Source organism: Homo sapiens, chromosome 1 (assembly GCF_000001405.40).
Source record: "Homo sapiens chromosome 1, GRCh38.p14 Primary Assembly".
NCBI lineage: Eukaryota > Metazoa > Chordata > Mammalia > Primates > Hominidae > Homo > Homo sapiens.
This window is the reverse complement of record NC_000001.11, coordinates 232600695-232614779: the sequence shown is the minus strand read 5'-3', so window position 1 is coordinate 232614779 and position 14085 is coordinate 232600695. Positions and strand designations below refer to the sequence as shown.

Here is a 14085-nt window from a genome sequence, read left to right as displayed (position 1 = left end):
AGATGGAAAGGCTAAATGGTTTTTAACAGGAGCATCATGGCATTTTGATAATTCGAAAGTTGCATTCCTTTCCTTTTGAATGCTGCTGTCTGCTCGAGGTGTATTATAGATGGGCTATGCATATATTGCTAATTTTTGCCAATAACTTAATCATGGAAGGATTCCGGGAACCTCCCGAGCAATAAGAACACAGCTGAGCATTTCTTGAGCCTTTCATTTGATTTGGGGGCAGTAGCTGCGGCTAAGCAGCTGCAGATGGTATGTTTTCAATTCATGCTGTGGCAGTTTGGGAATTCTTTTTACATCTTTTTGTTTATAGTGAACAAAAGAGCAGTGTGGAACTTAATCAGTTAGATCAAATGTATATAAATTCTGAGGATGGTGTTTCTACTCTATCTGAACTGAAGTACGAAACTTGTGTGTGAGGAAAACTGGCCTGCTGATTTATGGTGCCTGATGAAATCCTACATTAACATGCCTCTAAGATGTGTGTGCTTTGACTTTCCATTAATGGGTAAACATTTACACAGGCCTTGGCTGATGGAATAATGAGTTATTCCATCAGCCAAAACCCTTTATCTTTCTCTTCTTACGCTGTTACACGAAGTATCTGGCAATCCCTGTGTGGAGTGTGAGCCTATGCTTTTCATGACAGTAAGTTAGTGTAGTCTGTTGGTTGGGGATTTTGGAGGAAAAAGGGAAGCCTTCTACAGGAGGGTGAAGGTTTCTCAGAGTTCATGTCTTTGTGGGAAGAGTGGGAGGAGATGCCAAAGAAATTGCAAATATACTAATAATCCTCAGATAAGTGGTTTCTGCACAATGCCCTCCTGCTAAGTGTTCTGTTATTGTTGGACTCGGAATAAAGACTTGCTGGACTCTGCTTCAAATCCTGTGGGCGATTCTTACATTTTTGTGTTCAAACCCATCCTAGCTTCCTGTTGCTCAGATACTGGGTGTGTTCTGTGGGTTAGAAAGCACATAGCACCTGAAAGGTCATATTCTGTGCTCCCTAAATTGAGATGAACTAATTTGACCTACATTACAACATTTTTGGCATTATACACACACACGCACACACATAAATTTTGTTCTTGAATTTTAACTTAATTGGAAGCTTCTAAAAACTGGATCCTTCTAATCTTGTCTTTATGGTGGTATCTGTATTTTGTTCACAGCTTTTAATCCTTGCTCTATTCTTCTAAGTGTTTAGATTCCTAGTAACTTCCAGAATTGCTGGAAGACAGTTCCGTGTTGGATACCTTCAGAGAATGTATAGAATGCTGTTAACACCTGGAGAAGGTTCCCTTGACTCCATAATAAAAGTGGGTGGTTTGCTAAAGACCACCTGTAACTTTGTGTTTTCCTTCTTGCCTGGGCCTTTGTACAGCTTTACCACCAGGATGCCTTCTAAAAAGTCAGTATAAAGGGTCTTGTGAAAACACTAATATTTTAAGTTACATCTTTCTGGGTAGAGACATTGTGAAGTCCATTGAAAAAGTACTGCTCACTTTTCCACCTACTCAAAATGAAGAGGTGACGAATAAGCTGAAGGTCAGTGTATTAGTCTGTTTTCGTGCTGCTGATAAAAGACATACCCGAGACTGGCAAGAAAAAGAGGTTTAATTGGACTTACAGTTTCACATGGCTGCGGAGGCCTCAGAATCATGGCAGGAGGTGAAAGGCATTTCTTACATGGCAGCAGCAAGGGAAAATGAGGAAGATGTAAAAGCGGAAACACTTGATGAAAACCATCAGATCTCGTGAGACTTATTCAGTACCACGAGAACAGTATGGGGGAAACTGCCCCCATGATTCAAACTATCTTCCACCAGGTCCCTCCCTCCCACAACGTGTAGGAATTATGGGAGTACAATTCAAGATAAGATTTGGGTGAGGACACAGAACTAAACCATATCATTGCACCTCTGGCCTCTCCAAATCTCATGTCCTGACGTTTCAAAACCAATCATGCCTTCCCAACAGTCCCCCAATGTCTACTCATTTCAGCAGTAACCCAAAAGTTAACAGTCCAAAGTCTCATCTGAGACAATACAAGTTCCTTCCACCTATGAGCCTGTGAAATCAAAAGCAAGCCAATTACTTCTTAGATACAATGGGGATATAGGTATGAGTAAATACAGCTCTTCCAAATGGGAGAAACTGACCAAAACAAAGGGGTTACAGGGCCCATGCAAGTCTGAAATTCAGCGGGGCAGTCAAATGTTAAAACTCCAAAATGATCTCCTTTGACTCCAGGTCTCACATCCAGGTCATGCTGATGCAAGAGGTGGGTTCCCATGGTCTTGGGCAGCTCCACCTCTGTGGCTTTGCAGGGTACAGCCTCCCTCCCAGCTGCTTTCATGGGCTGGCATTGAGTGTCTGCAGCTTTTCCAGGCGAACGGTGCAAGCTGTTGGTGGATCTACCATTCTGGGGTCTGGAGGACAGTGGCCCTCTTCTCACAGCTCCACTAGGCAGTGCCCCAGTAGGGACTCTGTGTGGGGACTCCACCACACATTTCCCTTTTACACTGCCCTAGCAGAGTTTCTCCATGAGTGCCTGCCCCTACAGCAAACTTCTGCCTGGTTATCCAGGTATTTGCATACATCCTGCGAAATCTAGGCTGAGGTTCCCAAACCTCAGTTCTTGACTTCTGTGCACTCGTGAGCTCGACACCATGTGGAAGCTGCCAAGGCTTGAGGCTTGTCCCCTCCGAAGCCAGGGCCCCAGCTCAACGCTGACCCCTTTCAGTCACGGCTGGAGTGACAGGGACACAGGGCACCAAGTCTGTAAGCTGCACACGGCACAGGAACCCTGGGCCTGGCCCATGAAACCATTTTCTCCTAGGTTTCTGGGCCTGTGATGGGAGGGGCTGCTGGGAAGGCCTCTGATATGCCCTGGAGACATTTTCCCCATTGTCTTGGGGATAACAGTTGGCTCCTCATTATTTATGCACATTTCTTCAGGTGGCTTGGATTTCTCCTCAGAAAATAGGATTTCTTTTCTGTCACATTGTCCGGCTGCAAATTTTTTGAACTTTTATGATCTGCTTTCCTTATAAAACTGAATGCCGTTAACAGCACCTAAGTCACCTCTTGAATGCTTTGCTGCTTAGAAATTTCTTCTGCCGGATACCCTAAATTCTCTGTCTGAAGTTCAAAGTTCCACAAATCTCTAGGGCAAGGGTAAAATGCCACTAGTCTCTTTGCTGAAACATAACAGGAGTCACCTTTGCTCCAGTTCCCAAGTTCCTCATCTTCCTTTGAGATCGCTTCAGCCTGGACCTTATTGTTCATATCACTATCAGGCTTTTGGTCAAAGCCATTCAACGAGTCTCAGGCAAGTTCCAAACTTTCCCACATTTTTCTCTCTTCTGAGCCCTCCAAACTGTTCCAACTTCTGCCTGTTACCTACTAAAGTAACAGTCAGCAAAGTCGCTCCCACATTTTCAGGTGTCTTTTCAGCAACGCCCCACTCTACTGGTACCAATTTACTGTATTAATCCATTTTCACGCTGCTGATAAAGATATATTTGAGACTGGGAAGAAAAAATGGTTTAACTGGAGTTCCACATGGCTGGGGAGGCCTCAGAATCATGGCGGGAGGCAAAAGGCAGTTCTTACATGGCAGAGGCAGGAGAAAATGAGGAAGATGCAAAAGCGGAACCCCTGATAAAACCATCAGATCTTGTGAGACTTACTCACTACCACAAGAACAGGATGGGGGAAGCCGCCCCATGATTCAAACTATCTCCCACTGGGTCCCTCCCACAACACCTGGGAATTATGGGAGTACAATTCAAGAGGAGATTTGGATGGAGACACAGAGCCAAACCATATCAGTCAGAGAGCGTTGGTAGCCCTCTGGGTTTCAGGCCTATTGTTAGTATAAATAGAGTTTTTATTTTACTTTTTTTAAGCTCATTTTAGAAATGTGAGTTAAAGCCCTACCTGAACTAAGGTGTTCCTCCCCATTTAATTACCCTTATTCTCCTTCACTTGCTGTCAGGCCTGTGCTGGCCTCTGATGAGTTCCAACTTGGGAACAGATGACACGGTGCCACTCCACACTGAGAAAGGCTGAACTCTGAGCTCTTCTGGCGGCCTAGTGTCAGGCCCAGGTGCCTGAGTTCGTCATTGCTGATGTGTGTATGTGGAGGGGGTTGCTTGTTTGCCTGATTACTAGTTTTTAAGACTTGGAGACAAACTGACGAACATACAAATATTTTGCTGTTTATCAAGATCTCTTAGAATTTTGTATGTATTTTATTTTTAGACACTACATAAATAAGTAAGGCACATTTCCCTCTTTACATCTTCCATAGCACCGAGTTTTTGTGTCTTGCTTTAGCCCTGGAAACCTGGCGTCCAGCCCAGTGCTGGTGGGGCCCTCACCATGGCCTTCCATCAGCAGAGGCAGTTTCTCCAAGTGAGTCCAGGTCTCAACCAGTGACTTGTTCCCATCCACATCACCTAGCACAGCCCTTCTCTGTGGCAGAGAACTGAAGGAACTCAAGTGTCCTTAATTTCCAATCCCTCACAGATTGGTACTTCTGAGAATATAAATAATATTCATTATTAAAAAAACATGAAGAGATATACAGTACAACATTTTAAAACCTCAATTTTTATTGTTAGATTTAACAGACGTAAACTTCCATTTCTTTAAATATAATCACAATAAACATAGGAAAAAAGAAAAACATTGTTAAAGAATTACATTTGTTCCATGAAAATGTGCATATCAGAGATGAATAAAGTGAGTCACAGTTACTCTCATAACTTTGTTCTGCAATTATAACTAAAGTTACAAGTGAGAGATCGGGTCTCCATTTTAAATGCTAATAACAGATTTTGAACAGACATCATGCATATCATTATTTTAAGATTTTAATTTGATAACTGAGTTTGCTTCCTTTTTTTTCTTTTTTCTTTTTCTTTTTTTTTTTTTTTTGAGATGGAGTCTCGCACTGTCGCCTGGGCTGGAGTGCAGTGGTGCGATCTTGGCTCACTGCAAGCTCCGCCTCCCAGGTACAAGTGATTCTCCTGCCTCAGCCTCCCAGGTAGCTGGGATTACAGGCACCCACCACCACACCCAGCTAATTTTTTGTATTTTTAGTAGAGACAGGGTTTCACTATGTTGGCCAGGCTGGTCTCAAACTCCTGACCCTGTGATCTGCCCAGCTCGGCCTCCCAAAATGCTGAGATTACAGGTGTGAGCCACTATGCCCAGCCGCTTGCTTCGTTCTTGCTTGATAATTTATCTACTCAGGTTTGGATTGATAACACTATTTTAGGGGATAATGTGTATCTCAATGGTTTCTCTGTTTTGTTTTAATAATATGCATAATAGAGACACCCTTTCACAGAGAAGTATGTTGATGGAAATGGAAGAAGAAATTGTGAAGCAATTTCAGCATATTCATTTTAAACTTTTACCCAGAAAGTAAGCAAATGATAAATTTCAAAATTTATCTTTGATCTGTCATTGGTGATTAGGTCCAACCGTTTATTTTATTAAGTAATAGTTAATTTGATGAACAAAACGGATTCTGGATTTTGTATACTTTTGTATTAAAGTTGACAACTAACTATAAAACATCACTGTTTTAACACCATCCTAATGATCTTAATTAGTCATGTGACTCACCATACAAGTTCAACAACATCCAAACTGGTTTATGGCTAGTTCGATGTGGGTGATTATCCCAAATTACCTTTTAGAGAGACAAAATTAAATTGTGGAAAACAAACTATTAGAAAAGAGGTTACTTTTTTTTTTTCTTTTTTCACAGCTAATTCTTTTCTAAAGGAGGGGATGTCGGTTAATATTAGATACGTGTTTGACTTTAAGAAGACCGGCCTATTGTGAGTAAGTAGCTAGATTGTGAACCCTTTGGAAGATTTATTTTGGGGCTGTGAGTTGAAGATGGAGTAATGGAATCTTACAGTCCCAGGTAGGTGAACCTGCCTGGCACTTGCTTGGCCACTGTATGTGGTTTCCTCTGTGGTGTATTTCTCGCCCATGTGCCTCTACCTTAGTTGGAGTGCTTATCAGTCTTCTACTGTGCATGGATCTCCTCGTGTTTGTAATATATGCAGAGATATGGGTGTGCAGCACGCAGAGAAACATCTTTAGTAACTCGAGTAACTTGGCAACACCAAAATGCTAAAATAATTTTTTATTTTAATGAGAGAGGAGGACCATGTTAATGTCTGAGCTTGTACTCAGAGGGTAGAGGAAGAGACAGCATTGAAAAGAGGGCACCAACCTCTTGATTCCAACCCATTAATTTGTTTTCTATTATTTGAGAGTTGTTACTGCATTTGCAGGTGGTCTTTCCTCTGCAGCAGTCCCTCACTGGATATTTGAACCCTTGTGAGAAGCTATCCCTAAAAGATTATCTGCCCATTCCTCTCAAGAGGTGAAATATGGGGTTGGGTGCAGTGGCTCATGCCTGTGATCCCAGTACTTTGGGAGGTTGAGGCGGGCAGATCACTTGAAGTCAGGAGTTCGAGACCAGCCTGACCACCATGGTGAAACCCTGTCTCTACTAAAAATACAAAAAAATTAGTGGGGTGTGGTGATGTATGCCTGTATTTCCAGCTACTCAGGAGGCTGAGGCATGAGAGTCGCTTAAGTCTGGAGGTGGAAGTTGTGGTGAGCTGAGATTGCGCCACTGCACTCCAACCTGGGTGACAGAGTAAGACTCGTTTTTTTTTTTTTTTTTTTTTTGAGATGGAGTTTCGCTCTTGTTGCCCAGGCTGGAGTGCGATCTCGGCTCACCGCAACCTCCGCCTCCCCAGTTCGAGTGATTTTCCTGCCTCAGCCTCCCGAGTAGCTGGGATTACAGGCATGCGCTACCCCGCCCAGCTAATTTTGTATTTTTAGTAGAAACAGGGTTTCTCCGTGTTGGTCAGGCTGGTTTCAAACTCCTGACCTAAGGTGATCCGCCTGCCTCTGCCTCCCAAAGTGCTGGGATTACAGGCATGAGATACTGTGCCCGGCGTTTTTTTTTTTTTAAAAAAGAGGTGAAATATGGGAAATAAGTGCAGATGGGAACATCACCATGTAACCCTACCTGTGTGCCTGAAGACTTTGAACAAAGCAGCCCTTCTCTTCCATGGCACTGGCGGAAAGATTAATAAATACGAGGAGAAGTGGGGACAGTTTTCGTTAATGCTGAGTGCTCCAAGCATGGCGTTCCTTGTCTTCTTGGTTAAGCTCTGTGCAACTTTTCATAACATAGAAAGTTAATTTTATGGGGATTTGGGATGGGCAATTTACCCCACGAAATAATCACAAGTGGTCTAAAAGATTTATGTATAAGGATACCCAATGTAATATTTGTTATTACATTAAAAATTGGAAAAAATTTGATAGTAAGATATTCAATTATGATACTGCATATGATCAAGTAATTTAAATCAATTAAATATCTTGTTTTATAAGGCTATTTAATGACATGGGAAAATGTTCACATAATATTAAATGAAAACATTTTCTTGGTAAGCAGTATATTAAATATGCATATGCATTAATGGAACAGGGATACATTAAAAAATTTACAATGGTTATTACTTGTGGTTGTGTTATGTGTAATTATCATTTTCTTTTTGCATTTGTTTTCCAGCTTTTCTAAAATGAACATATTAATTTTATAATAGGAAAAAACATGCTGTTAAAATATTTGAATGACTGAATTATATGTAATCTTTAAAAAATAATTAGTCTGTCTCAAAACAGTTTCCTGATTCAATATAGTTTGGATTTATTTTCTTTTAATTGTATTTAACAGAAGTTTTCAAGGCAAGTAATTAGCAAATATTTACTAGACTCTACTTAACAGAAATTTTCAAGACAAGTAATTAGCAAATGTTTATTAGATATAGATGTAATAGATATGTTTTTGGTACATGTTCTTTATTGTAAAAGCCCCTAACATCTAAGTTTAGTTTCACGTATGCTTTGAAAATTATTTGCTGGTCTTATATGTCAGTTTAAGCATTATATTTTTTAACCTTCTGACAACTTTCTTTCATTTAAACTTATTACATAGGAAGAAATACATATATATGTATAATTTAAAGGCATTGAAATTAGTTTCAGGATCTTTTTTAGTATTAATAATATATTATAAATTATATAGTATATATAATAAATGAATAATATAATTCATTGGTAAGGCCCAGAATGACTTGCTTTATATACCTACATTATTTTATTTAATTATCACAAGTACCTCTCCTTGACAATGAGAATATTTTTCCGCATTGCTACTAAACATTAAGTTAGAGATTTTGGCATTTACTTTAAAAATACCGTTAAAGCTCTCGGCTTATTTCTGAAAGCAGAGATACCTTGACCCAGATAACTTCTATGTCTTTTTAGCAGTATAATTGCCGGCCCTTTGGTACTATGCTTTTTGACATTTATGTTAAAAATAAAAATTAGCTAATTTGTAAGTTATGAGGTCTCAAAAAAAAGTTCATTCCTCTTTCACGCCTGTTAATGCTTCTATTAAAATTCTGAAATGGCTTATTAAATTAAGTGCAGTGTCAAAGGCTAATTGTCTCTTTGTGAATTAGTCTACATGACTTATGAAAGCATGTTTTAAGAATTATGTTTGAATAGCAACTCTGAAGTCAATTTTTAGTATCTATCAAATTGTAATGATAGTAGATGAAAAGTATTAATAGATTATGAGGTCCTTTCTCTTGCTGTTACAAAAGATGCCTATAATATATATTTGTTGTTAATGTACTTGAAATTTCTTGAACTCAGTAGCATCATGTGTCTGAGACACTGATATGAATATGTGGTTAGAATGTGCTGTGTGTGCTACAGCATTGTCTGATGGATCAGAAAGCAGCAACTGTGTCTGACTGTGGCACAGGCAGTGCACGTATGTGTGATGTGTGTAAGAAGTCCTATCATATTGTTGGAGAATCAGAAATCCTGTATTTTTTATTTTTATCTTAATGTAAAAATTGTATTTCACAAGCCAGTATAATTTTAGTGGAATGAATGTGAGGCTTGGAGTACCTTATTTTTTTGTTTTTTGTTTTGTTTTGTTTTGTTTTGTTTTTAAGACAGAATCTCGCTCTGTCGCCCAGGCTGGAGTGCAGTGGCGCGATCTTGGCTCACTGCAACCTCCGCCTCCCAGGTTCAAGCGATTCTCCTGCCTCAACCTCCCAAGTAGCTGGGATTACAGGCACCCGCCACCATGCCCGGCTAATTTTGTATTTTTAGTAGAGACAGAGTTTCACCGTGTTGGCCAGGCTTGTGTTGAATTCCTGACCGCAGGTGATCCATCCGTTTCGGCCTCCCAAAGTTCTGGAATTACAGGCGTGAGCCACCACACCCAGCTGGGAGTAACTTCTATTCAGTGTCTTTTGAACACCTACCATGGTTTGTTCACTGTGATATTCCATGGTTTGAACCTGAAGTCTGTACTACCTTGGGTGGCTGGGCACAGTGGCTCACACATGTAATACTCCTGGCACTTTGGGAGGCCAAGGAAGGTGGATCATTTGAGCCCAGGAGTTTGACACCAGACTGGGCAACATGGAGAAACCCCGTCTGTACAAAAAGATACAAAAATTAGCTGGGTGTGGTGATGTATGCCTATAGTCCTAGCTACTCAGGAGACTGAGGTGGGAGAATCACTTGAGCCCAGGAGGTCAAGACTGCAGTGAGCCATGATTGAGCCACTGCACTCCAGCCAGGGAGACAGAGCAAGACCCTGTATATTAAGTCAGTTCTTGCATTGCTATAAAGAAATACCTGAGACTGGGTAATTTATAAGGAAAAGAGGTTTAATTGGCTCACGGTTCTGCAGGCTGCACGGGAAGCATGATGCTGGCCATCTCCTTGGCTTCTGGGGAGGCCTCAGGAAACTTATAATCATGGCGGAAGATGAAGTGGAAACAGACAGGTCTTATATGGCCCACACAGGAGGAAGAGAGGAGAGGGGTTATGTGCCACACACATTTAAACAAACATCTCCTGAGAACTCCATCATGAGATAGTACTAGGAGGCTGGTGCTAAACCATTAGAAACTACCCCCATGATCCAGTCTCTCCCACCAGGCCTCACCTCCAACATTGGTGATTACAATTCAACATGAGATTTGGGTGGGGACACAGATCCAAGCCACATCACTCTGTCTCAAAAAAACCAAACCAAACCAAAACAAAACCCAAACAGATACACCACCTTGGGCAAGTTGAGCCTTGATTCTCACATCTTGAAATGGGGATTAGAGTATCTATTGTGAAAGATTGTTGTGAGATTCTGATAATGCTTGTGAAAGTGCTTTGTCAAGTGCCTGGCACATAGTAGGTGCACAGTAAACTATAGTTACTTTTCTGCGTTATTGAACATCTGGTATGTGTTAAATAACTTGTCTGCCTACACTGGAGCAGAGTGAGAGGAGGCGGCTGGAAAGGAAATGAATACAACAGACTATAAAAGTGGAGTGAATTTTAGTGAACGAAGAGGTTTTTAAAGTCAAAATACAAAAATTGTATTCAATGATGAATATTCTTCTCATTAGTGATAGTGAGTCAAAACAAAGTTGATTTGAAGGGAGTTGGTGTAGATTCTCACAGGGGAAGTTCCCTTATGCTTTACCACGTGCTGGAATCTTTTGAAGATTCTTAAACTGATAAGCAAGAGTCTGTGGATGCGTTGTATCCTTCTGCTTGATGTAATTAATCCCTGTGGTGGAATCAGGTTGATTTGTTTGAAAAATGCCATTCAGCAGGTCTTAAAAAGCATAGTCTGATTGTGGATTTAGTAAATATGATGTCCACTTCTGTGAAATTCCCTGCTCGCTTCACTTCTGTATTTCAGAAGGTCTCTTTCTGCTGGGTACCCTTTTACTTAGTCGTCAAAAATAGGTAACTTGAACTTTTCTGATAGTTTCTATTGGGGCCTAGAAGAAATGGTCTCAGTAAAGACTTGGGGTATAATGATGTGGCTGGTGTTAGAGCAGGGCCTGAGTGCCCCATGTGGATCTAATGGTCACCTGCATCAGTGGATGGCAGGGCCTGGAAGGAGAGGTGGGTTTCCATGACCTCGCTGCTGTGATCCTAACCATCCCCCAGCTCTCCCACACCTCTGAACCCTGCTGGTGCTGCCCCAGTCTTGTCTTCCACCCATGGCTTTCGTCATCTGGCCTTCCCTCCCGGCTCTGTGGGTCCTGGTATTGCCAATCCTACGGCTTGTCCTCAGGCCGCATCCTCTGTTGCTTTCCGCTCCTCTTGACCCTGAGTGACACCCTGCTGTTCAAACGTTTACCTCTGCGCCTCGTTCTCCTCCCTCCCCTGGTCGTTTTTCTTCTACCCTTGCTGGCCTCTCCACCTCTCAATGCCTTTTAAACACTGGGGTCTCATGATCTTATTGTCACTTTGCATGATCGATCACACCTCCCTAAGTGGCATCTTTCACAGCCTCTGGAAGGAGACCTCCAGATCTTTACCTGTCTGGCCTTTCTCCAGCTGTCCCTAGTCGTCTTCCTTGGATCTTCTCAATACATTTCACAGTAAATAAATCCTTTCCGGATCTGTTGTCTTCCCCCCAGATCTCTGTTGCACTCTGTTCTTTGTCTTAGTATGTGCTGTCACTGTCAACATAGGACGCCCAGTTAGACGAAGCTTGTTGTCCTCCCTAACTCAATCCTTATACCACGTGTCTGGTTGGTCACCAGCATCCGCTAATTCTGCATCAGAAATGCCTTCGAATCTGTCTTTTTTATCCCCCCTGCTCCTGCCTTACTTAGGACATGTCATCCTTCATTGAATTTTGAAATAGCTTTCTAGCTGGTGTGTTCAATATGGTAGCCACCAACTGCATGAGGCCATTTAAATTTAGGTTAACTAAAATTAAATAAAAATAAAAATTCAGTTCCTCATTCTCACTAGCTACCTTTCAGGTGCTCAACGGCCCCATGTAGCTGCCATACTGGGCATTGCAGGAGTAACATTTTCATCACTGCAGAAGTTTCTGTAGATACCGCTGTCTAGCTCATCTCTCCGTCTCCAGTTGTCTACTCTGCCCATTTCATCCTTCATATTGCTGCCAGCATTTTCTGCGTGGAAACAGTCATCTAGTTATGAGCCTTCCCTGCTTAAATAACCTTCTGAGGGTGGCCAGAGGCAGTGGCTCACGCCCGTAGTCCCAGCACTTTGGGAGGCCGAGGTGGGTGGATCACGAGGTCAGGAGTTCAAGACCAGCCTGGCCAAGATGGTGAAACCCCATCTCTACTAATAATACAAAAATCTGCTGGGCATGGTGGCGTGCACCTGTAATCCCAGCTACTCTGGAGGCTGAGGCAGAGAATAGCTTGAACCTGGGAGGCAGAGGTTGCAGTGAGCCAGGATCGCACTACTGCACTCCAGCTTGGGCAACAGAGTGAGACTCCATCTTAAATAAACAAAACAAAACAAAAAACCTTCTGAGGGTGCTTGAGTAAAATCTGCACCCCTCAGCATGGACTGTAGGTCCTCAGAGCCTCCCCTCTCCTCCCACACCACTCTCCTTGGTCTCTAGACTCAGAGGCTCCTGCCCCTCACCTCTCATCCAGGTTGGCTTTGCTGCTTCTCTGCCTGTGCACAAGCTCTTCTTGTTGCTTGGAATGCCCACCTCCTTGTCTTCAGTCTTGCCTGCACTTTCTCTCTGGTAGTGACTTCCCCTCCTTGCCTTGTAGCATTTGTTTACTAGGCCACCTTCTCCATGCGAGGGCTTTTCTCAAGGGCATGGTCTTCAAAGGTTTTTGTCTTTGCACCCTCTGAAATAATTTTTAAAAAACATATACTCCTTCACATGCTTGTAAGGTGACATCCCATATTTTAAATCATAAATAATAGTATGTTTTTGTTAATAGCAAGTAGGAATTGTTAAACATATTATGAGATGAAAATAATATGAAGATTGACTTAGTTTGATATACCTTTTACAATAGAATTTGAGATAATTGATTTTATCTACCTGGTTGAAAAATGTACTGTAAAGAATACAAGTAAAATTGTTACCTTTGACATTTCTGTAACTTGGCTTGAACATTTTGGCGTTTGGTGTGTTGGGGGTGTGGAATTTCAGAAACATTTAAGAGCATCTATGCCATTAAACCTGTATGTCTTCAGTTTTTCTGAATCCAGAACATCCCCAAATGGGCCAAATTTCACCCATAACAGAAATGTGTTGAAGACACATAAAAACTGGAAGCCATATGGATTCAAGGGACCATGGGCTATAATTAATCATCAAAGAAGACATCTTGATGATCAGTGTTTTGAGTTATCCTTTGTTTGGTGCCCTGAGGTGTTTTAAACTTTGGAAGAATGCCCCATAGTAAGATTTCAGGGAGAGTGGAGCTGTTGCAAAGACAGGAATGCCCGTCTGTTTTCAGAAAGAGTTACATAGGGAAGGTGAGGGTCTCAAAATTGATTCTGTAGGAGGATTGCTTGGGCCCAGGAGATTGAGACTAGCCTGGGCAACATAGGTGTTAGCTATTAGCTCTCCTTGAACTGGGCACATAGGCTTTTTGAGTCCCTAAAGTTGAATGTCTCTGTTGGACTACTGCAACTGTAGGATGAGGCAGTCTTCATCTTGCCTGTGTCCCAGGGCCCAGCCTGGGGGCTGAGTGAATAGGCCACCTCACTAGTCTAACTTGGCATATCCTCCCTGGCTGGTCCCTTGCTCTCCTCTAGGGGATACCATCGGGGCTGTTGTTGGTGCCTGCTCTTGCCTATAGGTTTACTTGAGACACCACTGGCCACAGGAAACAGGGACTGTCATTCTACCTTTGGGAAGAGTGAAAGTATTTTTGTCGTGACACAGTAACTGTTTATAGCAGCTTGCATGATTTTATCAGTTATTCTACAACCCATTTTGTAGGACAGGGGTGACATTGCTGTGTAGGCTGCCTGGCTGTCACCTATGTGCCCTGAGGCTTCCATATGAGTGGCTTCCATGAGTTTTCCTGGAGCAACTGCCACCTTCTGCTCTGGAACTGAGTGCTGAGGGGCAGGGGGTGGAGCACACTCCGGCTGAGCGTCCTACCCACTTCAGAAGTAAGGTGC

The 14085-nt window shown here is 42.1% G+C and overlaps 1 protein-coding gene across 8 annotated transcripts in view; it reads left to right on the top strand.

Moving 5' to 3' along the window:
- Positions 1 to 14085, top strand: part of SIPA1L2 (signal induced proliferation associated 1 like 2) — a 232532-nt gene that overhangs the window by 15717 nt on the left and 202730 nt on the right. For 2 of the 8 annotated variants that reach the window (XM_047426144.1, XM_047426140.1), the window contains exon 1: positions 4923 to 5868. The exons of 4 other annotated variants lie outside the window; for them this stretch is intronic. The gene's annotated coding sequence lies outside the window, so the exon portion shown is untranslated. Of the gene's footprint in view, positions 1 to 4922; positions 5954 to 14085 lie in introns of those variants that run through there. 2 more of the 8 variants (XM_047426142.1, XM_047426141.1) reach the window with 2 other exon arrangements.